Source organism: Homo sapiens, chromosome X (assembly GCF_000001405.40).
Source record: "Homo sapiens chromosome X, GRCh38.p14 Primary Assembly".
Lineage (NCBI taxonomy): Eukaryota > Metazoa > Chordata > Mammalia > Primates > Hominidae > Homo > Homo sapiens.
Window position 1 is genome coordinate 275,687 of NC_000023.11, and position 27,683 is coordinate 303,369.

The 27,683-nt window shown below is 54.2% G+C and overlaps 1 protein-coding gene across 10 annotated transcripts; it reads left to right on the top strand.

The window, feature by feature from the left end:
- PLCXD1 (phosphatidylinositol specific phospholipase C X domain containing 1) lies at positions 670 to 27,670 on the top strand. Of its 10 annotated transcripts, none has more exons than NR_028057.2 (9): positions 670 to 708; positions 5,796 to 5,998; positions 8,481 to 8,628; positions 13,047 to 13,183; positions 14,962 to 15,090; positions 15,813 to 15,968; positions 17,349 to 17,532; positions 23,411 to 23,706; positions 26,907 to 27,670. NR_028057.2 is itself a non-coding variant. In XM_047442245.1 (9 exons), the coding sequence occupies exons 4-9, from the start codon at positions 8,502 to 8,504 to the stop codon at positions 23,647 to 23,649; spliced, it is 972 nt and encodes a 323-aa protein (XP_047298201.1). In that variant the 5' UTR covers positions 670 to 708; positions 942 to 1,081; positions 5,796 to 5,998; positions 8,481 to 8,501; the 3' UTR covers positions 23,650 to 27,670. The 10 variants fall into 10 exon arrangements, 8 of the variants coding, with proteins under 8 accessions (XP_047298201.1, NP_001357299.1, NP_001357301.1 ...); XM_047442245.1 differs by adding an exon at positions 942 to 1,081 and having other exon boundaries at positions 23,411 to 27,670; NM_001370370.1 differs by having other exon boundaries at positions 23,411 to 27,670.

A 27,683-nucleotide genomic window follows, 5' to 3' on the forward strand; every position in this document is an offset into this window, starting at 1 on the left:
GCTCCTGGTCAGCTCCAGGTTGGCTCGGGGGGGGAGATCGCAGGCGTGGGCTGCGCTGGGAGGAGCCACTTCCACCGACGGAGGCGGCACGGGCTGCCCAGGGTCCGGGCCACGCGGGGCGGGAGAGGTCGGAACCTGCAGGGGGAAGATCCCGGTGGGTTTGCTGGCCAAGGCGCTCAGAGCCTGCAGGCTTGGGACTGCCGGCCCCATGCGTTGACCCCAGGGCCGAGATGAAAGCACCTGTTCACCCCGTCCTGGGGGCTCCGGGAGACCCACCGCAGCCGCGGCCAGTGGCCCGAGTGGGGCCCGTCAGTCAGACACCTCAATGTCCCCTGCAAGGGCCCCTCTGACCACAGAGAACCCGTGGGCACACACCTCTGGGACGTCCTTGCTGTCTCTAAGCCCCTGACCGGGGGACCCCGGGGACACCTTGTTGGGACACACCGTGGGGTCCCCTGGGAGGGGTCTTCCGGTCCCCAGTCCTGGTCTGTGGGGTCCCCGTGGGAGTTCAGGGCGGTGTTTGCAGCCCAGCCGGTCCCGCTCCTGCGGTGGGGACAGATCCGTGGCGGGGGCGGGCTGTCCCTCCTCCTGGTGGCAGGAGTGTCCGCGCCACAGCCAATCGCAGCGGACTGGGTGTGTTTTAGGAAGAGTGTCCCGCAGAGACCCGGCGGGAGCTGCCAGGAGCTCTGGGATTCCAGCGGCTGGAAGGTGAGTGTGTCTACCCCGTTCTCCTGATGGCAAGTCCCCTACGGGGGACGTGGCGGGTGCCGTCTGTGCCTGTTGTGGGCTGGGAATCAGGAACCCGCGCTTCCGTCATTGAGGCTCCTTCTCCTCCTCCTGGGACCCTTAGCTGGGGGCACGGGCAGGGGGTTCAGGGGGAGGGTCGCCTGGGATCTGTGGCCTGGACGTTGGCAGCCACAGGCGGCCTGCACCCCTTGCAGACCGTGAATTCTCTGCCGGGTCAGAGCCGCGGAGCCAGTGTGGAAACAGCCCAGGACGGTTATGAAATGAGCCCGGGGGCCACGACTTGCTTGGCCGGTTGGACGTCCTCACCCTGCCGCCGGGGCCTGCGTGGGGACGGGTCGGGACAGCTGGGACGGTGGGGATGTTGGGGCACTGGGAATGCTGGGATCTGAGCACCCCTGTCCTTCCGTTGATTCACCCAGCAACCATTCACCCCGTGCGTTGAATGTGCGCGTCACGGCCACTCACGCCTCTGGGACGTGAGTCTCCCGAGGACTCAGCGGGCGGGAAGGTGTAGGTGTCTCACCCCGCCTGGCGGGTCACCGGGCGTCTGGGCCCGTCCGTCATCTGCGCTGTCCCGCCGCGACCGTGAAGGCCAGGGTGGAGAGGACCTCCCCCAGGAAGGGTCAGTGCTCCGTGGGACGGCCTCCAGACCCCACTCCGCTGTGCCGTCCGGACGAGATGGCAGAGGTGGCTGGGAGTGGGGGCCGCCCCCGGGGCTCCTTCCTGCTCCACTTTGTCATGTGTGGGGAAGGCGTCGGGGGACCTGGGGACAGGAGGGGGCGCCCCTCAGTGGTCAGGGGACTTGGGATGTGAGGGGAGGGGTCAGGGGGAACGTGGGGACAGATGTGGGGATAGGAGGGGACACCCCTCAGTGGTCAGGGGACCTGGGATGTGAGGGGAGGGGTTGGGGAACGTGGGGACAGGTGTGGGGACAGGAGGGGACACCCCTCAGTGGTCAGGGGACCTGGGATGTGAGGGGAGGGGTCAGGGCACGTGGGGACAGGAGTGGACACCCCTCAGTGGTCAGGGGACCTGGGATGTGAGGGGAGGGCTCAGGAGGACATGGGGACAGGTGTGGGGACAGGAGTGGACACCCCTCAGTGGTCAGGGGACCTGGGATGTGAGGGGAGGGGTCAGGGCACGTGGGGACAGGAGTGGACACCCCTCAGTGGTCAGGGGACCTGGGATGTGAGGGGAGGGCTCAGGAGGACATGGGGACAGGTGTGGGGACAGGAGTGGACACCCCTCAGTGGTCAGGGGACCTGGGATGTGAGGGGAGGGGTCAGGGCACGTGGGGACAGGAGTGGACACCCCTCAGTGGTCAGGGGACCTGGGATGTGAGGGGAGGGGTCAGGGCACGTGGGGACAGGAGTGGACACCCCTCAGTGGTCAGGGGACCTGGGATGTGAGGGGAGGGCTCAGGAGGACATGGGGACAGGTGTGGGGACAGGAGTGGACACCCCTCAGTGGTCAGGGGACCTGGGATGTGAGGGGAGGGGTCAGGGGGAACGTGGGGACAGGTGTGGGGATAGGAGGGGACACCCCTCAGTGGTCAGGGGACCTGGGATGTGAGGGGAGGGGTCAGGGGGAATGTGGGGACAGGTGTGGGGATAGGAGCGGACACCCCTCAGTGGTCAGGGGACCTGGGATGTGAGGGAGGGCTCAGGAGGACATGGGGACAGGTGTGGGGACAGGAGTGGACACCCCTCAGTGGTCAGGGGACTTGGGATGTGAGGGGAGGGGTCGGGGGACGTGGGGACAGGAGGGGACACCCCTCAGTGGTCAGGGGACCTGGGATATGATGAAGGTGACGGGAGGGGAGGGACTGTGACGGGGGAAGGGACTGTGATGGGAGGGAGGGAGTATGACAGTAGCCGGAATGGATGGAATCCGTCATGACACAGAGGATGTGAGTGTACAGCTTTGGGTCCAGCCTGTCCTAGGAGACACTGATTTCCTCGAGTCTTCTGAACCAAAAAGTATCTGAGACAGGTCTCAGGACATTTAGAAAGTGTGTTTTGCTGGCCGGGCACGGTGGCTCACGCCTGTCATCCCAGCACTTTGGGAGGCCAAGGCGGGCAGATCACCTGACGTCAGGAGTTCAAGACCAGCCTGACCAACAAGGTGAAACCCTGTCTCTACTAAAAATACAGAAATTACCTGGGTGTGGTGGTGGGCGCCTGTAGTCCCAGCTACTTGGGAGGCTGAGATAGGAGAATTGCTTGAACCTGGGAAGCGGAGGTTGCAGTGAGCCGAGATTGCACCACTGCACTCCAGCCTGGGAGACAGAGCAAGACTCCGTCTCAAAAAAAAAAAAAAAAAAGTGTGTTTTGCTAAGGTTGAGGACGCGCCTGTGACCGAGCCTCAGGAGGTCCTGACGACCTGTGCCCTAGGTGGTCGGAGGACATCTTGGTATTATGCATTTTAAGGAAACGTCAGACATGAATCCATACGTGTAAGACGAACCTTGGTTCTGTCAAGCGCGTCGGTGCGAAGAGACCCCCGAACAGGCTTTGTGTGAGCGATAAAGCGGTTCATTCACTTGGGTGCAAGTGGGCTGAGTCCGAAGAGAGAGTCAGCGAAGGGAGATGGGGGAGGGGTGGCTCAATAGGAGTTGGGTAGGTAATGGAAAATTACAGCAAAAGGTGGTTATCTATTGTCAGCAGAGGAGGGATTGCAAGGTGCGTGGTGCACAGATCATAAGACTCATTGTCCAGAGGACGAACGGCACAAAGTCGATTGATCGGCTAAGGTAGGGCAGGGAGAACTCACGATAGTAAAATGTTGTAATTTTAGTTAACCAGTTAAGGCAGGAACTGGCTGTTTTACTTCTCTGTGGTTTTTCCTTGGCTGCTCCAGACTTCTTGGCTCCTGCAGGCCACCTGGACGTATATGTGCAAGTCACAGGGGTGATAATGGCTGAGCTTCGGCTCAGAGGCCTGACAGGTTCAATCGGTGAAGGTGGGACTGCTCCACTGGTGGTGAGGCGGGCTTCCAGGTCATAAGGTAGATTTTAAAATTTTCTGACTGGCAATTGGTTGAAAGAGTTATTATTAGGCCGGGCACGGTGGCTCACGCCTGTCATCCCAGCACTTTGGGAAGCCAAGGCGGGCGGATCACCTGAAGTCAGGAGTTCGAGACCAGCCTGGCCAACATGGTGAGACCCCCGTTGCTACCAAAAATACAAAAAATTAGCTGGGAATGGTGGCAAGTGCTTGTAATCCCAGCTGTGCTGGAGGCTGAGGCAGGCGAATAGCTTGAATCCAGGAGGCGGAGGCTGCAGTAAGCTGAGATCATGACACTGCACACCAGTCTGCGCAACAGAGCGAGACCCTGTCTCTGAAAAAAAAAAAAAGAAGAAAAAAAGAGTTATTAGTAGAAAGGAATATCTGCATTAAGATAAGAGGATGTGGAGACGAAGGTTTTTTGTTTTTGAACGGGAGTCTCACTCTGTCTCCCAGGCTGGAGTGCAATGGCGCGATCTCGGCTCACTGCAACCTCCGCCTCCCGGGTTCAAGCGATTCTCCTGCCTCAGCCTCCCAGTAGCTGGGACTACAGGCGCGCGCCAGCACGGCTAAATGATTTTTGTATTTTTACCAGTGATGGGGTTTTGCCATGTTGGCCAGGCCGGTTTCGAACTCCTGACCTCAGGTGATCCGCCCGCCTCGGCCTCCCAAAGTGTTGAAGTGCTCGAATTACAGGCGTGAGCCAGCGGGCCCCGCCCAGACCTGCATTTTAACCTCCCCTCCACCCCGCGGCCCCGGGACCCTGGGCATCCGGAGGCTCACAGCGGCCCTGCTGGGATGCTCCAGGCAGATCACTGCACAGCCCTGCAGGCAGAGGGGAGGCCGTGCAGGAGGAGGGGAGGCCGTGCAGGGGGAAGGGAGGCCGTGCAGGGGGAGGGGAGGCCGTGCAGGGGGAAGGGGGGCCGTGCAGGGGGAAGGGAGGCCGTGCAGGGGGAAGGGAGGCCGTGCAGGCAGAGGGGAAGACGTGCAGGGGGAGGGGAGGCCGTGCAGGAGGAGGGGAGGCCGTGCAGGGGGAAGGGAGGCCGTGCAGGCGGAGGGGGGTACGTGCAGGGGGCAGCGGAGGCCGTGCAGGGGGAGGGGAGGCCGTGCAGGGGGAAGGGGGGCCGTGCAGGGGGAAGGGAGGCCGTGCAGGGGGAAGGGAGGCCGTGCAGGCGGAGGGGGGTACGTGCAGGGGGCAGCGGAGGCCGTGCAGGGGGAAGGGAGGCCGTGCAGGGGGAGGGGAGGCCGTGCAGGGGGAAGGGGGGCCGTGCAGGGGGAAGGGAGGCCGTGCAGGGGGAAGGGAGGCCGTGCAGGCGGAGGGGAAGACGTGCAGGGGGAGGGGAGGCCGTGCAGGGGGAGGGGAGGCCGTGCAGGGGGAGGGGAGGCCGTGCAGGGGGAGGGGAGGCCGTGCAGGGGGAAGGGAGGCCGTGCAGGGGGAAGGGAGGCCGTGCAGGCGGAGGGGGGTACGTGCAGGGGGCAGCGGAGGCCGTGCAGGGGGAGGGGAGGCCGTGCAGGGGGAAGGGGGGCCGTGCAGGGGGAGGGGAGGCCGTGCAGGGGGAGGGGAGGCCGTGCAGGGGGAGGGGAGGCCGTGCAGGGGGAGGGGGGCCGTGCAGGGGGAAGGGAGGCCGTGCAGGGGGAGGGGAGGCCGTGCAGGGGGAGGGGGGGCCGTGCAGGCGGAGGGGGGCCGTGCAGGGGGAGGGGGGGCCGTGCAGGCGGAGCGGGGGGCGTGCAGGGGGAGGGGAAGCCGTCCTGGGCCTTTTCCAGCTGGCTGCAGAGAAGGGGCCAGCTCCCTCCTGGGGACCCGGAGCCGCGGTACAGGTGTGGTTGCTTCTCTTGGAGAAAGAGGCTGAGCTGACATCCCCCGGGCTGATAAAGAATGGGCTCCTCCTCCTGGGCCCAGCAGGCTCCCGGGACCCTCCCTCCCTCCCTCCCTCCCTCCCTCCTTCCGGGCAGCAGGGAAGATCTGAGTTCATGTAGCTGGTGTTGGCTTAGGGTCTGGGAGGAAGGCTTTTGGGAAGATGTAAATAAGAACAAAATCTGCAGCCACCTGGGAAGCCTGGCCTCAGTGTGGAAGAGAAGGCAGCAGGATTATTACAGAACCTTGTGAAGCCAACGCGGGCAGCCGCCAGGAGCTGCAGACCGAGAGGATCTCGTCCTTTCTTGCGGCCCAGGGAGACCAGGCCTTTCATTCTGGGCTCGAGACCAACAATTCGAATTCCGAACTCCCCCTGCGTGTGGGACTCAAGGTGGGTTTGCAGTTTGCAGGCAGCTGAAGTTTGTCTCTTCTCCAGGAGGCCGGGGCTTCTTCCCTTCCTCTCTGTCCCATTTCTTTTTTCTTGAGACAGAGTCTCACTTTGTCACCCAGGCTGGAGTGCAATGGTGTGATTGTGGCTCACTACAGCCCCCGCCTCCCGGGTTCAAGCCTCAGCCTCCTGAGTAGCTGGGATTACAGGCGTGCGCCACCACGGCCGGCTACTTTTTGTACTTTTAGTAGAAATGGGGTTTCACCATGTTGGCCAGGCTGGTCTCGAACCCCTGACCTCAGGTGATCCACCCACCTCAGCCTCCCAAAGTGATGGGATGACAGGCGTGAGCCACCGTGCCCGGCCCCTCCAGGTCTCATTTCTAAGAGGAGGCCTCAGGTCCACCAGGAAACATTCCTCAGATGTGAAACTGTCAACAGGCTGATTTCTGGGCTCAAGATCAACAATTCTAATTGATTTGATTAAATCAATTAGATCTAATGATTTTAATCTAATCAGTTTTAATCTAAATGATTAAAAATCTTACATACATTGCCGGGCGTGGTGGCGGACGCCTGTAATCCCAGCTACTCTGGAGGCTGAGGCAGGAGAATTGCTTGAACCTGGGAGGCGGAGGTTGCAGTGAGCCGAGATTGCATCATTGCACTCCAGCCTGGGTAACAAGAGTGAAACCCTGTCTTTAAAAAAAACAAAACAAAACAAAAAAAAAACCGTACATACAGCTGGGCACCGTGGCTCACGCCAGTAATCCCAGCACTTTGGGAGGCCGAGGCAGGCAGATCACCTGAGGTCAGGAGTTCAAGACTAGCCTGACCAAGATAGTGAAACCCCGTCTCTACCAAAAATACAAAAATTAAGCAGGTGTGGTGGCGGGCGCCTGTAATCCCAGCTACTCTGGAGGCTGAGGCAGGAGAATTGCTTGAACCTGGGAGGCGGAGGTTGCAGTGAGCCGCGATCGCGCCATTGCAGTCCAGCCTGGGCAACGAGAGGGAAACTGTGTCAAAAAAAAAAAAAAAAGACCAACCAAAAAAGTTATATACACTTCAGAGGCAGAGAAAGAATTTACAAGTTGTCTAAAATGTCCTTATGGAAAGGGTCACTTCCCTTATTTTCAACAGTATATTATATATATATACTTATATATGTATATATAGTGATGTATATATGTATATATGTTATGTATGTGTTATATATGTCTATATTATATATGTATATATGTTATACATGTATGTTATATATATATTATATATATATTATATATGTATATATTATATGTATAATATATATTATATGTATATATTATATATGTTATATATATGTTATGTATATAATATGTATATATGTATATATTCTGTTATGTGTGTATGTGTGTGTGTGTGTGTGTGTGTAGGCGACACGGACACACGTGGAGTGGTTTTAAGGAGCGGAGAGTTTAATAGGAAAGAAGGGAGGTCCGGGCAGTGGCTCACGCCTGTAATCCCAGCACCGCGGAGGTTGCGGTGAGCCGAGATCGCGCCATTTCACTGCAGCCTGGGCAACAAGAGCGAAACTGCGTCTCAAAAAAAAAAAAACCAAGGCGAGAAGGCAGAAAGAAGTGGCTCCCCTGGACTGAGACAGAGGGACGGGGGCTCCAAACCCCAGGCAGGAGACCAGCCCGTGTTATACGGTGCCTGGAGGAGGCGTGACTCATTTGCATAGCGCTGAGGGGATTGGTCTGACCAGGCCTGTCATTCACGTAGCCCGCGAAAAACCTGGCCCGCCCACCCCAGTTCCGTAATATGCAAATGTAGGGCGCCATGATGTTCCACACGCCTGAGGGTAGTGGGGGCGGCCGTGGTGTCAGGCCCGGGTGGGGGCGGCCTTGGTGTCAGGCCCGGGTGGGGGCGGCCGTGGTGCCAGGCCCGGGTGGGGGCGGCCGTGTTGCCAGGCCCGGGTGGGGGCGGCCTTGGTGTCAGGCCCGGGTGGGGGCGGCCTTGGTGTCAGGCACGGGTGGGGGCGAGGGCAAGAGGGCAACGGTGGGAATCGCCATGTGGGCTGGACCAGCTAAAGGCTCGCATTTGCATATTAAAGGTTGCCAAGCCGGGTCTAAGAGCCAGGGCTTTCACGCTAGACAAGAAACATTTTTTGGAGCTGCAAAAAATGCTTCCAAGGACCCCTTTTCCTCTCTCTCTCTCTCTTTTTTTTTTTTCTTTTTTGGATATGGAGTTTCACTCTTGTTGCCCAGCCTGGAGTGCAGTGGCGGGATCTCCGCTCACTGTAACCTCCACCTCCCGGGTTCAAGCGATTCTCCTGCCTCAGCCTCCCGAGTAGCTGGGATGACAGGTGCCACAGGTGCCCACCACCACGCCCAGCTAATTTTTGTATTTTTAGTAGAGATGGGGTTTTGTCAAGTTGGCCAGGCTGGTCTCGAACTCCTGACCTGAAGTCACCGTAAAAAACCTCTTTTCCTCTTCTCCTTCCTCAGGTTGCCCAGGGCTCACCTCTGATGGGTGGGCAGGTGAGCGCTTCCAACAGCTTCTCGAGGCTGCACTGCAGAAATGCCAACGAGGACTGGATGTCGGCACTGTGTCCCCGGCTCTGGGATGTGCCCCTCCACCACCTCTCCATCCCAGGTGAGGTTGGGGTGGGGCAGGGGCCGTTGCCTCTATCCCAGGTGACGGCAGGGTGGGGCGGGAGCTGTGGCGTCTGCATTCCCCAGTGGGGACGCTGGCTGTAGGAGCAATCCTGGGTGTAGGGAAATCCTAGAAAGCACACTGATGTGGACACACACATACACACAGTGCACACGTGTGTGCATACACATATGTACATAGTCATGGACATGCACAGACATGCATACACACAGGCATGCACACATGTGCACACATACACAGGCATACATGCACACACGCACACACGCACACACGCACACATGCACATCTGCACACGCACATCTGCACACACACATGCACATCTGCACACACACATGCACATCTGCACACATACGCATGTGCATACTGTGTTGGTCTGTTCTCACGCTGCTAACAAAGACATACCCGAGACTGGGTAATTTATAAAAGAGGTTTAATGGACTCAGTTCCACCTGGCTGGGGAGGCCTCACAATCACGGCAGAAGGTGAATGCGGAGCAAAGTCACATGTTACATGGTGGCAGCCAACAGAGCGTGTGCTGGAGAACTGCCCTTTGTACAACCATCAGATCTCGTGAGACTTATTCACGATCACGAGAACAGCATGGGAAAGACCCGCCCCGTGATTCGGTGACCTCCCACCAGGTCCCTCCCATGACAGATGGGAATTATGGGAGCTACAATTCAAGATGAGATTTGGGTGGGGACACAGCCGAGCCATATCACATACATAGGTGCACATAGGCACACATGCAGGCACACACAGACACATACATACACACACACATGCATGCGCACACACATACATGCATGCACACATGCACATCCCCACACATATGCACATGGATGCATATACATGCACACACACAGGTGTACACACATGCAGGCACATGTATACATGGATGTAGGCACATACTAATGCACACATGTATACATGCACATAGGCTCATACACACATGGATGCACATACACATGCATGCACATGTGCGGGTGTGTACACATGCACATGCACACGTGTACACATGTACACACATGCACACATGTATATATATATTTGCACCTATGCACACATATATACACCTGCAGATATACACAGGTGTAGACATGTACATGCACAGACACACGTGCACACATAAACATTTGCACCTATGCACGCAGAGACACGTCTATGCAATGCATGTATACACGTGTACACACGTACATGCATGCACACAGACATACACATGTACACATTTGCACCTATTCACATAGACATACATGAATGCACATATGCACACGTGTACACAGGCACACATGCACATGCACACGCGTGTACACACATGCACACACGTAGACACACGTCCATGCACACAGGAACACAGGTACATGTTTAAACACAGGCACACACATGCACACTCACATATAGGCATACGGACACACATACACATGCACACAGATACGTATTGTCAACCTAAGGAAATAAACTTAGACAAAATTAATATAAGTAGGGGGTTTCCTTGAGCCACATTTGAGGACTGCAGCCCAGGAAACCCTCCAACTCGCCTTAGGAAGTGGCTGTGGAGAACAACGTCGAGACGGGAGCTTCTAAAGAAAGTGCACATCAGGAGAGGGGGTGATGATGAAAGCTGTTTTTCAGGAATTCATGTGGGTTACTGAAGTGGCATCGAGCACTGATCGCGTTCTTCCTTGCAATGTAGGGAATGAGTTATGGTGCCCCAGTGTGACATCCTGAGGTTAATTTTTTTTTTTTGAGACGGAGTTTTGCTCTTATCGCCCAGGCTCGAGTGCAGTGGCTCCACCTCAGCTCATCGCAACCTCTGCCTCCTGGGTTCAAGCGATTCTCCTGCCTCAGCCTCCCGAGTAGCTGGGATTACAGGCACGCTCCACTATGCCTGGCTGATTTTTGTATTTTTAGCAGAGATGGGGTTTCACCATGTTGGTCAAGCTGGTCTCGAACTCCCGACCTCAGGCAATCCACCTGCCTCGGCCTCCCAAAGTGCTGGCATTGCAGACATGAGCTATTGCACCCGACATCTTAGGTTAATTTGTAGAGATGCGGGGCATCTGTCAGTCTAGAGCTGACCTAGTAAGTAGCTTCCAGGGGTGATACTGTAGCAGGACCAGCCGCAGACAAAACTCAGACACCGGATTAAAGAAAGAAGAGGTTTCTTTGGCCGGGAGCTTCGGCAGACTCACATCTTAAGAGCCGAGCTCCTTAAAAAAGAAATTCTTGGCCTTTTTAAAGGCTTACAACTCTGAGGGGTCCACGTGAAGGGGTCGTGATAAATCAAGCAAGTGTGGGGAACGTGACTGGGGGCTACATGTGTCAGCTAACAGAACAGAAAGTTTTGTAACGCTTTTTCATACAACGTCTGGCATTTACAGATAACAGAAGTGGTTTAGGTTATGGATTGATATTATTTTAACTCCCAGGGCTGGGTGGTGGTGCCAAGGTTGTCTGGCTATTTATCTTACTTCTGTTTCTTTCCAACCTTTTGCTTTCTCCTGTCTTATAAACTAGGCAAGGTGGGGGTAGGGGGCAGCAGGAGAAGTACTGGTCTCCTTCCTTAACACCTTAGCTCAAGATCGGGGGAGCAGGTGACTGTGGCTTCGTTCCAATGCCTCTCGGGGTCTGGGGATTTAAAGGGGGTCCACGTTCCTCAGAGGATGTAAAGGGGCTTCACGTTCCTCAGGGGATTTAAAGGGGGAAGGCCGGGCGTGGTGGCTCACGCCTGTAATCCCAGCACTTTGGGAAGCCAAGGCAGGAGGATCACTTGAGTTTAGGAGTTTGAGAGCAGCCTGGGCAACATAGTGAGGCCCCATCTCTGCAAATATGTATATACACACACACATTTATATGTAAGTGTACATATTTATATATAAACATACATATTTATATTTATATATAATATATAAATAAGTAAATGTAAAATATAAAATATATATCATATATTTATATAAATATATGATACATAAGTACATTTATATATTATATTTATAAACATAATATGTGGATATATATTTTATATATTTATATAAATACATATTTATGCAAAAATATGTATTTATGTAAATATATACTAATATATGTTTATATATAGATATATATACACTATATATGTTTATATATAGAATATATACTATATATGTTTATATATAGATATAGATACTATATATGTTTATATATAGATATAGATACTATATATGTTTATATATAGATATAGATACTATATATGTTTATATATAGATATAGATACTATATATGTTTATATATAGATATAGATACTATATATGTTTATATATAGATATAGATACTATATATGTTTATGGATATAGATACTATATATCTTTGTTTATAGATATAGATACTATATATGTTTATATATAGATATATGTCATATATATCTTAAATATATATATCTTAAATATAGATATATTTATATCTATATTTAAGAAATAACAACTACGTGTCATAGGCAGGAAATGCAAACGTCAGCCATCAGTCAAACTCTACAAAGGTCTGTGTTTCTTGCGGTTACCATAACAAGTGAGCACACGTCAGGAGGCGGCAAAGAACAGAAATTTACTCTCTCCCAGTTCTAGATACAGAAATCTGAAGTCAAGATATGGGCAGGACCACACGTCCTCCTGAGGCTCTAGGGGAGGGTCCTTCCTGCCTCTCCCAGCTCCTGGGGGCTCCAGGCATCCCTGGGCTTGTGGCCGCATCACTCCAGTCTCTGCCTCCATCTCCACGTGGCCTCCTCCTCTGGGTCTGTGTCTCCTAAGGACACCTGTCATTGCATTTAGGACCCAGCACAAAGCCAAGATGACTTCATCTTGAGCATTTTGAGAGCATGTGTAAAGACCCTATTTCCAAACAGGATCCCATTCACAGGTTCTGGGCAGGGGGTTAGGACTTGAACAGCTCTTTTGGGGATCACCACTCAAGTCATTGAAATTGTATTCAGTTCCTTCTAGAGGCTCTAGAGTGGGGGATCCTTCCTGCCTCTCCCAGCTCCTGGGGGCTCCAGGCATCCCTGGGCTTGTGGCCGCATCACTCCAGTCTCTGCCTCCGTCTCCACGAGGCCTCCTCCTCTGTGTCTGTCTCCTCCTCTTGTGTCTTAGACGGACACCTGTCACTGGATTTGGGGGCCCGCCCTACTCCAGGATGATCTCATTTCAACCTAATGATATCTGCAGAGACCCTGTTTCAACACGGGTCGTGTTCCCAGGTTCCAGTGGACGTGAGTTTTGGGGGTCAGCGTGCACCCCTCCCGCCATACCTGTGCCTGTGCTGTGGGCGGGCAGCAGCCTGTGCTGTAGGCGGGCTGTGGAGCGACTCACAGCAGGTGGCGGGGACGGACTCGTGGTGACATGTCCGCGTGTGTGCTTTGCTCTCAGGGAGCCACGACACGATGACGTACTGCCTGAACAAGAAGTCCCCCATTTCGCACGAGGAGTCCCGGCTGCTGCAGCTGCTGAACAAGGCCTTGCCCTGCATCACGCGCCCTGTCGTGCTGAAATGGTCCGTCACCCAGGTACGGTCTGTGCCCCGTGCTGCTGACCTGGCCTGTCAGCTATGTGGGGCCCACGGCCCCGTGGTGCTGAAATGGCCCCTCACCCAGGTAGGGTTTGAGTGGTGCCCTGTGGGCTCAGGAGGCAGGTTCCTATCCCAGCTGCGGAGACAGGATTAAAACAAAACCTGCTGCCCACCCAGAACCCCTCCCCAGAGGTGGAAGAGAGGGGAACAGTGTTTTTATTTATTTATTTTTTGAGACAGGGTCTCACTCTTCTTACCCGGGCTGGAGTGCAGTGGCGTGATCTCGGCTCACTGCAACCTCCGCTGCCTGGGTTCAAGCGATTCTCCTGCCTCATCCTCCTAAGTACCTGGGTCTACAGGCACCTGTCACCACACCTGGCTAATTTTTTGTATTTTTAGTAGAGATGGGGTTTTACCGTGTTAGTCAGGATGGTCTTGATCTCCTGACCTCATGATCTGCCCGCCCCAGCCTCCGAAAGTGCTGGGATTACAGGCGTGAGCCACCGCGCCCGGCCCAGCATTTTATTAAATGGCGTAAAGCTAATGCCGTGAGCATCGCAGGCCTCCACTGAGAGCTGCAGAGGGAGAGGGTCTCGCCCTGTTGCATCCCAGCAGAGACAACACCTTTCTTTTTCTTTCTTTTTCTTTTTTTTTTTTTTGAGACGGAGTCTCACTGCCGCCCAGGCTGGAGTGCAGTTGGTGCCATCTCGGCTCACTGCAAGCTCCGCCTCCCGGGTTCACGCCATTCTCCTGTCTCAGCCTCCTGAGTAGCTGGGACTACAGGCTCCCGCGACCACGCCCGGCTAATTTTTGGTATTTTGAGTAGAGTCAGGGTTTCACTGTGTTAGCCAGGATGGTCTCGAACTCCTGACCTCGTGATCCACCCGCCTCAGCCTCCCAAAGTGCTGGGATTACAGGCGTCAGCCACCGCGCCCGGCCGAGACAACCCCTTTCATGCCTGCACTCAAGACAGACAAGGACTCATTTCTCGTGTCTTTAGGACCTGAGGCGGGTCTGCAGTTTGCAGTCAGGCATCTGCTAGTCCCTGGGAAACAGGGAGACAGGCCCCTTTCTCCCTAATAATCACATTCATTCATTCCTTTAGAGATGGAGTCTCGCTCTCTCACCCAGACTGGAGTGCGGTGGTGCGATCTCAGCTTCCTGCAGCCTGGGCCTCCCAGGATCAAAGGATCCTCCTTCCTCAGCCTCCCGGGCAGCTGGGACTACAGGTGTACACCACCACACCCAGGCTGATTTTTAAAATTTTTAGTAGAGGCCGGGCGCGGTGGCTCACGCCTGTAATCCCAGCACTTTGGGAGGCCAAGGTGGGTGGATCACGAGGTCAGGAGATCGAGACCGTCCTGGCTAACATGTTGAAACCACATCTCTACTAAAAATACAAAACAAAATTAGCTGGGCGCGGTGGCGGGCGCCTGCAGTCCCAGCTACTGGGGAGGCTGAGGCAGGAGAACGGCATGAACCCGGGAGGCGGAGCTTGCAGTGAGCCCAGATTGCACCACTGCACTCCAGCCTGGGTGACAGAGCGAGACTCCGTCTCAAAAAAAAAAAAAAAAGGCCAGGTCCCCGGAGATGAGGTTTTCCAAATGCAGGTCCCCGTGGCTGCAGCGCTCCCAGCACATACAAACAGCTGTTGTTACGACATCCACGTCCCAGTGGGCAGCAGGACATGCGGGTGGGCCAACCCCACAGCCCATTCCTGAGCCCCCCAGACGCGGCGCTCAGCCAGGCAGACATGACAGCAGCCTCTGTCCACAGGCACTGGACGTCACAGAGCAGCTGGATGCCGGGGTGCGGTACCTGGACCTGCGGATAGCCCACATGCTGGAGGGCTCGGAGAAGAACCTGCACTTTGTCCATATGGTGTACACAACGGCGCTGGTGGAGGTGCGGCCGGGCTGAGGTGGGACGCAATGGGGAGAGTGGGAGGCGGCCGGGCACTGGTGCAGGTGCGGCCGGGCTGAGGTGGGAAGCAAGGGGGACAGCGGGAGGCGGCCGGGCACTGGTGCAGGTGCGGCCGGGCTGAGGTGGGAAGCAAGGGGGACAGCGGGAGGCGGCCGGGCGCTGGTGCAGGTGCGGCCGGGCTGAGGTGGGAAGCAAGGGGGACGGCGGGAGGTGGCCAAGCTCCCGTGGGGATGAAACAGCCACATGCAGATGTGGACAGGAAACGCCCGGTCTTTAATGGAAGGGTGACGTCACCTATACACCAGACAGGAGACACTGACCCCGCCAATCCGTTACGGAGATTTCTTTTTTTTTTGCTTTTTTTTTTTGGAGATGGAGTCTTGCTGTGTCGCCCAGGCTGGAGTGCAGTGGTGCAATCTCAGCTCACTGCAACCTCTGCCTCCTGGGTTCAGGCAATTCTCCTGCCTCAGCCTTCCAAGTAGCTGGGATTACAGACGCCGGACACCACGCCCAGCTAATTTTTGTATTTTTAGTAGATACGGGGTTTCACCATGTTGGCTAGGCTGGTCTCAAACTCCTAACCTCAGGTGATCCACCCGCCTCGGCCTCCCAAATTGCTGGGATGACAGGCGTGAGCCGCCACACCCCGCCTTCCCTGTGGTGTTGGAGTCGTGCAGGACTCAGCCCAGCACCCCCCTCCCCAGGACACACTCACGGAAATCTCGGAGTGGCTGGAGCGGCATCCACGCGAGGTGGTCATCCTGGCCTGCAGAAACTTCGAGGGGCTGAGCGAGGACCTGCACGAGTACCTGGTCGCCTGTATCAAGAACATCTTCGGGGACATGCTGTGTCCTCGTGGGGTGAGGAGGGGAAGGATATCCGCACGTCTCTCCCGGGGCAGGGGCATCGTCAGCCTCAGACTCCATTTGCTGTGCCCTGGGTGTGGGTGCTGCCATGATTCCTGTAGCAGGTGAAGCCGTCGAACGGGGGCTGCCTGCTCTCCCGCAGTGTGGGGGGCCCTGGCTGACCCGGTGGGGTGGCTCCTGGTGAGATCTGCTTCCCTTGACGGGTTTAGAAATGTGTGCAGCGTCAGCCGGGCGCGGTGGCTCACGCCTGTCATCCCAGCACTTTGGGAGGCCGAGGCGGGTGGATCACGAGGTCAAGAGATCGAGACTATCCTGGCCAACATGGTGAAACCTGGTGTCTACTAAAAATACAACAATTAGGCTGGGTGTGGTGGCTCACGCTTGTCATCCCAGGACTTTGGGAGGCCGAGGCGGGCGGATCACGAGGTCAAGAGATTGAGACTATCCTGGCCAACATGGTGAAACCCCGTCTCTACTAAAAATACCAAAATTATCTGGGTGTGGCGGTGGGTGTGCCGGACGCAGTGGCTCACACCTGTCATCCCAGGACTTTGGGAGGCCGAGGCGGGCGGATCATGAGGTCAGGACATCGAGACCATCCTGGCTAACACGGTGAAACCCCGTCTCTACTAACACAAAATACAAACAATTAGCCGGGCGTGGTGGCGGGCGCCTGTAGTCCCAGCTACTCGGGAGGCTGAGGCAGGAGAATGGTGTGAACCCGGGGGGTGGAGGTTGCAGTGAGCCGAGATCGCGCCACTGCATTCCAGCCTGGGAGACAGAGCGAGATCCGTCTCAAAAAATAAAAAATAAAAATAAATAAATATATAAAAATAGAGACAGGGTCACCCTGTGCAGCCCAGGCTCGAATTCCTGGCCTCGAGTGATCCTCCCGCCGTGTCCTCCCAAAGTGCTGGGATTACAGGCATGAGCCCCTGCACCTGGCCATACTTAATTTATTTATTTATTTGAGAGGGAGTCTCGGTCTGTCTCCCAGGCTGGAGTGCAATAGCGAAACCTCGGCTCACCGCAACCTCTGCCTCCCAGGTTCAAACGATTCTCCTACCTCAGCCTTCTGACTAGCCGGGATGACAGGCGTGCACCACCGCACCCGGCCAATTTTTGTATTTTTAGTAGAGATGGGGTTTCACCATGTTGCCCGGGCTGGTCTCAAACTCCTGACCTCAGGTGATCCACCCACCTCGGCCTCCCAAAGTGCTGGGATTACAGGCGTCAGCCACTGCGCCCGGCCAGAATTTCATTTTTGGTTTATACTCGTGTTGGGCCGGTGTCCCGACTTCCCAGCCCTCCGCTCTCCCAGGTGCCCCCGGCTCTCCTCTCTCCCCTGCACCCCTTAACTCTGGTCCTTTGCAGGAGGTGCCGACACTGCGGCAGCTGTGGTCCCGGGGCCAACAGGTCATCGTCTCCTATGAAGACGAGAGCTCCTTGCGCCGGCACCACGAGCTGTGGCCAGGAGTCCCCTACTGGTGGGGAAACAGGGTGAAGACCGAGGCCCTCATCCGATACCTGGAGACCATGAAGAGCTGCGGCCGCCCAGGTACCAGGTCGCCCCTCGTGGGGGTAGATTCCACACAGCCTCCCGTGACGCCCTGCGGCAGGCCGGGTCCACATGGACTTGCCTTCACTTTTACGTGAAAACAATTTAAAAGGAATCCATGAGCTGGGCGTGGTAATCCCTGTACCTGTAATCCCAGCACTTCGGGAGGCCGAGGCGGGTGGATCACCTGAGGTCGGGAGTTTGAGACCAGCCTGGCCAACATAGTGAGACCCCAACTTTACTAGAAATAAAACTTAGCGGCCGGGCGCAGTGGTTCATGCCTGTCATCCTAGCACTTTGGGAGGCTGAGGCGGGCAGATCACCTGAGGTCGGGAGTTCGAGACCGGCCTGACCAATGTGATGAAACCCTGTCTCTACTTAAGAAGCACCCAGGGAGAAAGCAGTCCATGTACATTGGCGGGGGGAGGGATCAACAAGGTGTGGTCCATCCACGCGGTGGAATATTACACAGCCATGAAAAAGAACGAGGCTCTGACAAGGATGCAGCGGGCACAAACCTTAAGACATCACGCTCAGTGAGAGAAGCCAGACACAAAAGGACACGTAGTGTGTGAATCCATTTACAGGAAATGCCCAGAACATGCCAATCCAGAGACAGAAAGAGGATTTGTGGTTGCCGGGGGCTGCGGAGGGGAAATGAGGACTGACTGCTTCATGGAAACAGGGTCTCTCCTTTTAGGACGATGAGAATGTTCTGGAACTAGGGAGAGGTCGGAGTTGCACAACGTGAATCCACTTTATTTTTTTTAGTTAATTCTTTGATTAGAGAAGGGGTCTCACTGTGTTGGCCAGGCTGGTCTCAAACTCCTGGTGTCAGCCAGGTGCGGTGGCTCACACCTGTGATCACAGCACTTTGGGAGGCCAAGGTGGGTGGATCACCTGAGGTCAGGAGTTTGGAGACCAGCCTGGCCAACATGGCGAAACCTCTTCTCTAGCAAAAATACAAAAATTAGCGGGCACAGGCCGGGCGCGGTGGCTCACGCCTGTAATCCCAGCACTTCGGGAGGCCGAGGCGGGCGGATCATGAGGTCAGGAGATCGAGACCATCCCGGCTAACATGGAGAAACCCCGTCTCTACTAAAAATACAAAAAATTAGCCGGGCGTGGTGGCGGGCGCCTGTAATCCCAGCTACTCCGGAGGCTGAGGTAGGAGAATGGTGTGAACTCGGGAGGCGGAGCTTGCAGTGAGCCGAGATCACGCCACTGAACTCCAGCCTGGGCGACAGAGTGGAACTCTGTCTCAAAAAAAAAAAAAAAATAGGCACCTGTAATCCCATCTACTTGGGAGGCTGAGGCAGGAGAAATGCTTGAATCCAGGAGGCGGAGGTTGCTGTGATCCATGGTCGCGCCACTGCACTCCAGCCTGGGCGACAGGAGCAAGACTCCATCTCAAAACAAAACAAAAAAGAGAAAAATTAGCCAGGCATGGTGATGCGCGCCTATAATCCCAGCTACTCAGGAGGCTGAGGCAGGGGAATCACTTGAACCAGGAAGGCGGAGGTTGCAGTGGGCCGAGATCGAGCCAGTGTACTCCAGCCTGGGCAACAGAGCGAGACTCTGTCTCAAAACAAAACAAGACAAAATCAAACTTCTGGGGTCAAGCGATCTGCTTGAACCACCATTCCCAGCCGAGTTGTGCAATTTAAAATCGTGAATTTCGGTGCAGTGGCTCACGCCTGTAATCCCACCACTTTGGGAGGCCGAGGCAGGTGGATTAATTGAGATCAGGAGTTTGCGACCAGTCTGGTGAAACCCCATCTCTAGTAAAAATACAAAAAGATTTAGCTGGGCGTGGTTGTGTGCACCTGTAATCCCAGCTCCTCGGGAGGCTGAGGCAGGAGAATTGCTTGAACCCGGGGGCGGAGGCTGCCGTGAGCCGAAATCGCGCCACAGCACTCCAGCCTGGGCAACAGAGCGAGACTCCATCTTGGGAAAAAAAAAAAAAGGTAACTTTTTTGTACGTGAATTTCACCACAATTTTTGTAAAAAAGCCACCGACGGGGTGTGAGGTGCAGACAGCGTCGGCAGCCACGGCCCCGTGTCCTCCGGAGGCAGGAGCCTGAGGGAGGGAGGGAGGAAGGTCCTCCCCGCGGGGACGGTGGCAGGTGGGGCCGTCTCGGTCCTGCAGCCTGCGGCTGGGTTCTCTCAAGGTGATCTTCACGGCCGCGAGGGCTGCTTCCCACAGGGGCAGCATGAAACCCAGTCACGGGCCGGGCAAAGGAGCAGGTTTTTTCAACTTGGTCTCTTGCCCTCACACAGGAACGAGGTTTAGAGACTTCAGAAATGTCTTTTTTTTTTTTTTGAGGTGGAGTCTCACTCTTGTTGCCCCGGTCGGAGTGCAGTGGCGCGATCTCGGCTCACTGCAACCTCCGTCTCCCGGGTTCAAGCCATTCTCCTGCCTCAGCCTCCTGAGTAGCTGGGACTACAGGCGCCCGCCACCACACCCGGCTAATTTTTTTTTGTATTTTTAGTAGAGACAGGGTTTCACCATGTTGGTCGGGCTGGTCTCGAACTCCTGACCTCATGATCTGCCCGTCTCAGTCTCCCAAAGTGCTGGGATGACAGGCGTGAGCCACGGTGCCAGGCGGAAAATTTTTTTGTTTGTGTGTTTGTTTTTTGAGACAGAGTTTTGCTCTTGTTGCCCAGGCTAGAGTGCAATGGCGCAATCTTGGCTCACTGCAGCCTTCGCCTCCTGGGTTCGAGCAATTCTCCCGCCTCAGCCTCCCACCACGCCCGGCTAATTTTTATTTTTAGTAGAGATGGGGTTTCTCCATGTTGATCAGGCTGGTCTCGAACTCCCGACCTCAGGTGATCTGCCCGCCTTGGCCTCCCAAAGTGGTGGGATTACAGGCTTGAGCCACTGTGCCCGGCCTTTTTTTGTTTGTTTTGTTTTGTTTTTGAGACAGAGTCTTGCTCTGTCACCCAGGCTGGAGTGCAATGGCGTGATCTCGGCTCACTGCAACCTCCACCTCCTGGATTCAAGTGATTCTCCTGCCTCAGCCTCCCGAGTAGCTGGGATTACGGGCACGTACCACCATGCTGAGCTAATTTTTGGATGTGTTTTTACTAGAGAAAGGGTTTCAGCGTGTTGGTCAGGCTGGTCTTGAACTCCTGACCTCATGATCCACCGGCCTCAACCTCTCAACGTGCTGGGATGACAGGCATGAGCCACCGTGCCCAGCCTAGAAATACGTGTTAAAAACCACTGAGAGAACTTGGCCATAAACGTCTGTTGCCTTTGCCGTCTCTGGCTGTGGAATCAGTCCAGCTGGTCAACACAGGGGCACTGGAACCTACCTCTGGGGGAGCTTCTTCAAATATGGCTTGCAGGAGATTCCGGCTCAGCAGATGTAGGTGGAGCCCCCAAATTTGCATTTCTAACTATTGCAGGGACCCCACTTTGAGAATCACTGGTCAACGTCAACCCTCTCTATAAGCCTCATAAGAGATGGCACAGACTTAGTGCCCAAGACAACAGCATTCTTCCTGTCTATCACATGGGGGATAAGAATGTGGACAAGTTTGGGGCCATATTATTCTGTCTCCCACATGGGATTAGGACGTGGACATCTTTGGGGCCATTATCCTGTCTACCTCATGGGGATTAGGACGTGGACATCTTTGGGGACATTATTCTGTCTCCCACATGGGGATTAGGACGTGGACATCTTTGGGGCCATTATTCTGTCTATCACATGGGGATTAGGACGTGGACATCTTTGGGGACATTATTCTGTCTATCACATGGGGATTAGGACGTGGACATCTTTGGGGACATTATCCTGTCTATCACATGGGGATTAGGACGTGGACATCTTTGGGGACATTATTCTGTCTCCCACATGGGGATCAGGACGTGGACATCTTTGGGGACATTATTCTGTCTATCACATGGGGATTAGGACGTGGACATCTTTGGGGCCATTATTCTGTCTATCACATGGGGATTAGGACGTGGACATCTTTGGGGACATTATTCTGTCTATCACATGGGGATTAGGACGTGGACATCTTTGGGGACATTATTCTGTCTATCACATGGGGATCAGGACGTGGACATCTTTGGGGACATTATCCTGTCTATCACATGGGGATTAGGACGTGGACATCTTTGGGGCCATTATTCTGTCTCCCACATGGGGATTAGGACGTGGACATCTTTGGGGCCATTATTCTGTCTCCCACATGGGGATTAGGACGTGGACATCTTTGGGGACATTATTCTGTCTCCCACATGGGGATTAGGACGTGGACATCTTTGGGGCTGTTATTCTGTCTCCCACATGGGGATTAGGACGTGGACATCTTTGGGGACATTATTCTGTCTATCACATGGGGATTAGGACGTGGACATCTTTGGGGCTGTTATTCTGTCTCCCACATGGGGATTAGGACGTGGACATCTTTGGGGACATTATTCTGTCTATCACATGGGGATTAGGACGTGGACATCTTTGGGGACATTATTCTGTCTCCCACATGGGGATTAGGACGTGGACATCTTTGGGGCTGTTATTCTGTCTATCACATGGGGATTAGGACGTGGACATCTTTGGGGCCATTATTCTGTCTATCACATGGGGATTAGGACGTGGACATCTTTGGGGACATTATTCTGTCTATCACATGGGGATTAGGACGTGGACATCTTTGGGGACATTATTCTGTCTATCACATGGGGATTAGGACGTGGACATCTTTGGGGACATTATTCTGTCTATCACATGGGGATTAGGACGTGGACATCTTTGGGGACATTATTCTGTCTCCCACATGGGGATTAGGACGTGGACATCTTTGGGGACATTATTCTGTCTATCACATGGGGATTAGGACGTGGACATCTTTGGGGACATTATTCTGTCTATCACATGGGGATTAGGACGTGGACATCTTTGGGGACATTATTCTGTCTATCACATGGGGATTAGGACGTGGACATCTTTGGGGACATTATTCTGTCTCCCACATGGGGATTAGGACGTGGACATCTTTGGGGACATTATTCTGTCTATCACATGGGGATTAGGACGTGGACATCTTTGGGGACATTATTCTGTCTCCCACATGGGGATTAGGACGTGGACATCTTTGGGGCCATTATTCTGTCTATCACATGGGGATTAGGACGTGGACATCTTTGGGGACATTATTCTGTCTATCACATGGGGATTAGGACGTGGACATCTTTGGGGACATTATTCTGTCTATCACATGGGGATTAGGACGTGGACATCTTTGGGGACATTATTCTGTCTCCCACATGGGGATTAGGACGTGGACATCTTTGGGGACATTATTCTGTCTATCACATGGGGATTAGGACGTGGACATCTTTGGGGCCATTATTCTGTCTATCACATGGGGATTACGACGTGGACATCTTTGGGGACATTATTCTGTCTCCCACATGGGGATTAGGACGTGGACATCTTTGGGGACATTATTCTGTCTATCACATGGGGATCAGGACGTGGACATCTTTGGGGCCATTATCCTGTCTATCACATGGGGATTAGGACGTGGACATCTTTGGGGACATTATTCTGTCTATCACATGGGGATTAGGACGTGGACATCTTTGGGGCCATTATTCTGTCTATCACATGGGGATTAGGATGTGGACATCTTTGGGGACATTATTCTGTCTCCCACACGGTGTTACGACGTGAGCATCTTTGGGGTTGTCTACTGCCCACCACGCTTTATAAGCAAAGCTCACCCAATTTCCTTGTTGGACATGGTGCTTTCAACTCTTAATTCCTGAGATGCGAACCTCTAATAATGTGACTAGGAGGGAGAAACAGGCGGGTGAGGCCCGTGACCGTGTAACCTCTCCCCACCCTCACCGTTGCAGGAGGGTTGTTCGTGGCCGGCATCAACCTCACGGAGAACCTGCAGTACGTTCTGGCGCACCCGTCCGAGTCCCTGGAGAAGATGACGCTGCCCAACCTTCCGCGGCTGAGCGCGTGGGTCCGAGAGCAGTGCCCGGGGCCGGGTTCACGGTGCACCAACATCATCGCGGGGGACTTCATCGGCGCAGACGGCTTCGTCAGTGACGTCATCGCGCTCAATCAGAAGCTGCTGTGGTGCTGACGGGACCCTTCTGAAGTTCGGGACGCGGCGGCTGCAGTTTCACCCCCGAATTTCCAAGTATTGTGACTTTGTTTGGGCCAAATGTTGGTGATCATAGGACCGATGATAATACGTTTTCATTTTCTTTAAAATAGAGATGGGGTGGCTGGGCGTGGTGACTTCGCCTGTCTTCCCAGCACTTTGGGAGGCCGAGGTGGGTGGATCATGAGGTCAGGAGCTTGAGAGCAGCCTGACCAACATGGTGAAATCCCATCTCTACTAAAAATACAAAACTTAGCTGGGTGTGTGGCAGGCGCCTGTAGTCCCAGTTACTCGGGAGGCTCAGGCAGGAGAACTGCTTGAAGCCGGGAGATGGAGGTTGCATTGAGCTGACATCGTGCCACTGCACTCCAGTCTGAATGATAGACCGAGACTCCATCTCAAAAGAAAAAAAAACAGCCGAGTGTGCAGTGACTCACGCCTGTCATCCCAGCACTTTGGGAGGCGAAGGCGGGTGGAACATGAGGTCAGGAGTTCGAGACCAGCCTGACCAACATGGTGAAACCCCGTCTCTATTAAAAACACAAAAACTACCTGGGTGCGTGATGGGCACCTGTAGTGCCAGCTACTCAGGAGGCTGAGGCAGGAGAATGGCGTGAACCCGGGAGGTGGAGGTTGCATTGAGCTGAGATCGTGCCACTGCACTCCAGCCTGGGCGACAGAGCGAGACTCCATCTCAAAAAAAAAAAAAAAAAAAAAGATGGGGTCTCTCTATGTTGGCCAGGTTGGTCTTGAACTCCTGGCCTCAAGTGATCCTCCCACCTCAGCCTCCCAGAGTGCTGGGATGACAGTCAAGAACCACCATGGCAGCCCATAATATGTTTTCTTATTTCTGTATTCTCCTTGCTGTGGCGTCTGGAGCCCTTACAGACCCAGGGAGACACTATCCTCCCACAGCTCACTAATTACTAAACACAGTGACAGCCCACTTAGGAGCCGGCCTCCCCTGTCAGCCAACCCCTCAGCTAGTTCTCACACCAAGCCTATAGATATATATGTGTGTGTATATATGTGTGTTTATGTGTCTGTGTGTATATATGTGTATATATCGGTGTGTATATATGTATGTATGTTTATACATGTGTATATGTGTGTGTGTGTGTGTATATGTGTGTATGTGTGTATATATGTATATGTGTGCATATGTGTATACGTGTATGCATACATGTATATGTGTATGCATGTATATGTGTATGTGTACATGTATATGTGTTTATACATGTATATGTGTGTATGCGTGTATACGTGTATGTATACATGTATATGTGTGTATGCGTGTATATACACACGTATACATATATACGTGCGTGTGTATGTGTATATATATATATGTGTATATATATATTTTTTGAGGAGTCTCACTCTGTCACCCAGGCTGGAGTGCAACGGCGAGATCTCGGCTCACCGCAACCTCCGCCTCCCTGGTTCAAGCAATTCTCCTGCCTCCGCCTCCCGAGTAGCTGGGATGACAGGCATGTGCCACCACACCCGACTAATTTCATATATTTAGTAGAGACGGGGTTTCTCCGCGTTGGTCAGGCCGTTCTCAAACTTCTGACCTCAGGTGATCTGCCCGCCTCGACCTCCCAAAGTGCTGGGATGACAGGCATGAGCCACTGTGCCCAGCCGCCGATATTTCTTTAAATTATGTTTAGGGACAGGGTCTTTTTCTGTCACCCAGGCTGGAGGGCAGTGGTACAGTCATAGCTCACTGCAGCCTCAACCTCCTGGGCTCAAGCGATCCTCTCAGCTCAGCCTCCCGTGTAGCTGGGGCTCCAGGGACACACCCCCACTGCTGGCTAATTTTTGTATTTTTGGTAGAGTCAGGGTTTCACCACATGGCACAGTCTGGTCTCAAATTCCTGGGCTCCAGTGATCCTCCCACCTTAGCTTCCAGAGTGGCCAGGATCACAGGCAGGCACCACCATGCCCAGGTAATTTTATTTTTTTGTAGAGACGTGGTCTGGCTATGTTGTCCAGGGTGGTCTCAAACTCCTGGGCTCAACTGATCCTCCCACCTCAACCTCTGCCATAGCCAGGACCTCAGGTGTCAGCCACCACACCCACAGCTAATTTTTTTTGTAGAGATGGGGTCTGGCTCTGTTGCTCAGGCTGGTGTGTAGTAGGGGCACAGTCATAGCTCACTGTAACCTTCAACGCCTGGGCTGAAGCAATTCTCCCGCCTCAGCTTCCCAAGTAACTGGGAGTATAGGTGTACACCACCATGCCCAGCTAATTATTTAGTAGTAGTAGGAGGAGTATTATGTTTGAGATGGAGTCTCGCTCTGTCGCCCAGGCTGGAGTGCAGTGGCGCAGTCTCAGCTCACTGCAACCTCTGCCTCCCAGGTTCAAGCAATTCTTGTGCCTCAGCCTCCTGAGTAGCTGGGATTACAGGCGCCCGCCACCGCGCCTGGCTAACTTTTGTATTTTTAGCAGAGATGGGGTTTCACCATGTTGCCCAGGCTGGTCTTGAACTCCCGACCTCAGGTGATCCATCCGCATTGGCCTCCCAAAGTGCTGGGATCACAGGCGTGAGCCACCGCACCTGGCCTCAAGCCAGTATTTCCCTGGCCCTAAATCATTCCTGGCTGGGTCCCAGCCCAGTAGAGCCAGCCCCCCAGCCCGGAGTGCTACTGAAGTGTTCAAAAGTTGTCAATCCTCAGCCGTTCCCTAGTCCTGTTGCCCGGTTCTGCCGAAGCCCCTTGAAGGCTGTGGCCTGGGCTGTTCCCTCATTCATTCCTGCCTCCCGAGCCAAACCCAGGTATCCGCTTGTGCCCTGCGTGGTGTGGCAGCGTCTTCTCTCGGGAAGGGTCAGGAGTAATTTCTTCTTTCAGTGGCCTCTCTGTGCTAGTCCCGGTCACCTCCGTGAATTAAAGTCCTACAGGTACAAGGGAGACCCCCCCCCCACGGAAGGCGCCCCCAGTCCGTGTGGGAGACTCGCACACCGGTTTTCTGCACAGGTTTCTTTCTGCCTCTGAAGCGTGAACGGTCCTAGTTTCAGACGCAGATCCTGCAAATACTTTTTTTTGTTTTTTTGAGATGGATTTTCCCTCTTGTTGTTCAGGCTGGAGTGCAATGGCACGATCTCAGCTCACTGCAACCTCTGCCTCCCGGGTTCAAGTGATTCTCCTGCCTCAGCCTCCCGAGGAGCTGAGATTACAGGCGCGTGCCACCGTGCCTGGTTAATTTTGTATTTGTATTTTTATTTATGTTTTGAGACGGAGTTTCGCTCTCGTTGCCGAGGCTGGAGTGTAGTAGTGTGATCCTGGCTCACTGCAACCTCCACCTCCCGGGTTCCAGCAAATTCTCCTGCCTCAGCCTCCCAAGTAGCTGGGATTGCAGGCGCCCGCCACCACGCCCGGATAATTTTTGTGTGTTTAGCAGAGACGGGGTTTCACCATGTTGGCCAGGCTGGTCTCGATCTCCTGACCTCAGGTGATCCACCCGCCTCGGCCTCCCAAAGTGCTGGGATGACAGGCGTGAGCCACCGCGCCCGGCCTATACCTCATTTTCTACATGTCGCTTGTTGGAGCTGCTGGTTCAAGTTCCCAGCCAGCCAATGGATGCCAGCACCATTTTTACTCCCCTTTCCCAAGCAAATCGTGCATTTTTGTCTAACGAGAGACATCAGTTTCTCAGGATGATCCTCAAGAACGTTATGGAGTCCATGTTGCAATAGGTTCTCTTTGGGACCTAATGACTCATTTTCCAAAAATCCGCTTCTACTTTTGGTACCCGGTTGCTACGGTGAAATGAAGGTGCCCCGCATCCAGAAAGACGCACTCCTGGACCACAACCGGCGGCTACCTCAGCCCCACGGCTCTGCAGGATCAGGGCTCGGGCAGGCCCCGCGGAGATGAAGAATTTGCAGGGAGCCTCCCTGACTTCCGTCGGCTGTGAATCCTTGTCTGTCAGGGGCGTATCCACAAAATCACCGAATTCATACAGATCGTTTAAATAAATGAACATCATTAAAGTCAAATATGAGTATGAAT

Coding starts and splice junctions, on each gene's coding strand:
- PLCXD1 (XM_047442245.1), top strand. CDS start 8,502: ATGGGTGGGCAGGTGAGCGCTTCCAACAGCTTCTCGAGGCTGCACTGC. Junction 15,091..15,812: donor ACACAACGGCGCTGGTGGAG/GTGCGGCCGGGC, acceptor CCCCCTCCCCAG/GACACACTCACGGAAATCTC. Junction 17,533..23,410: donor GAAGAGCTGCGGCCGCCCAG/GTACCAGGTCGC, acceptor TCACCGTTGCAG/GAGGGTTGTTCGTGGCCGGC.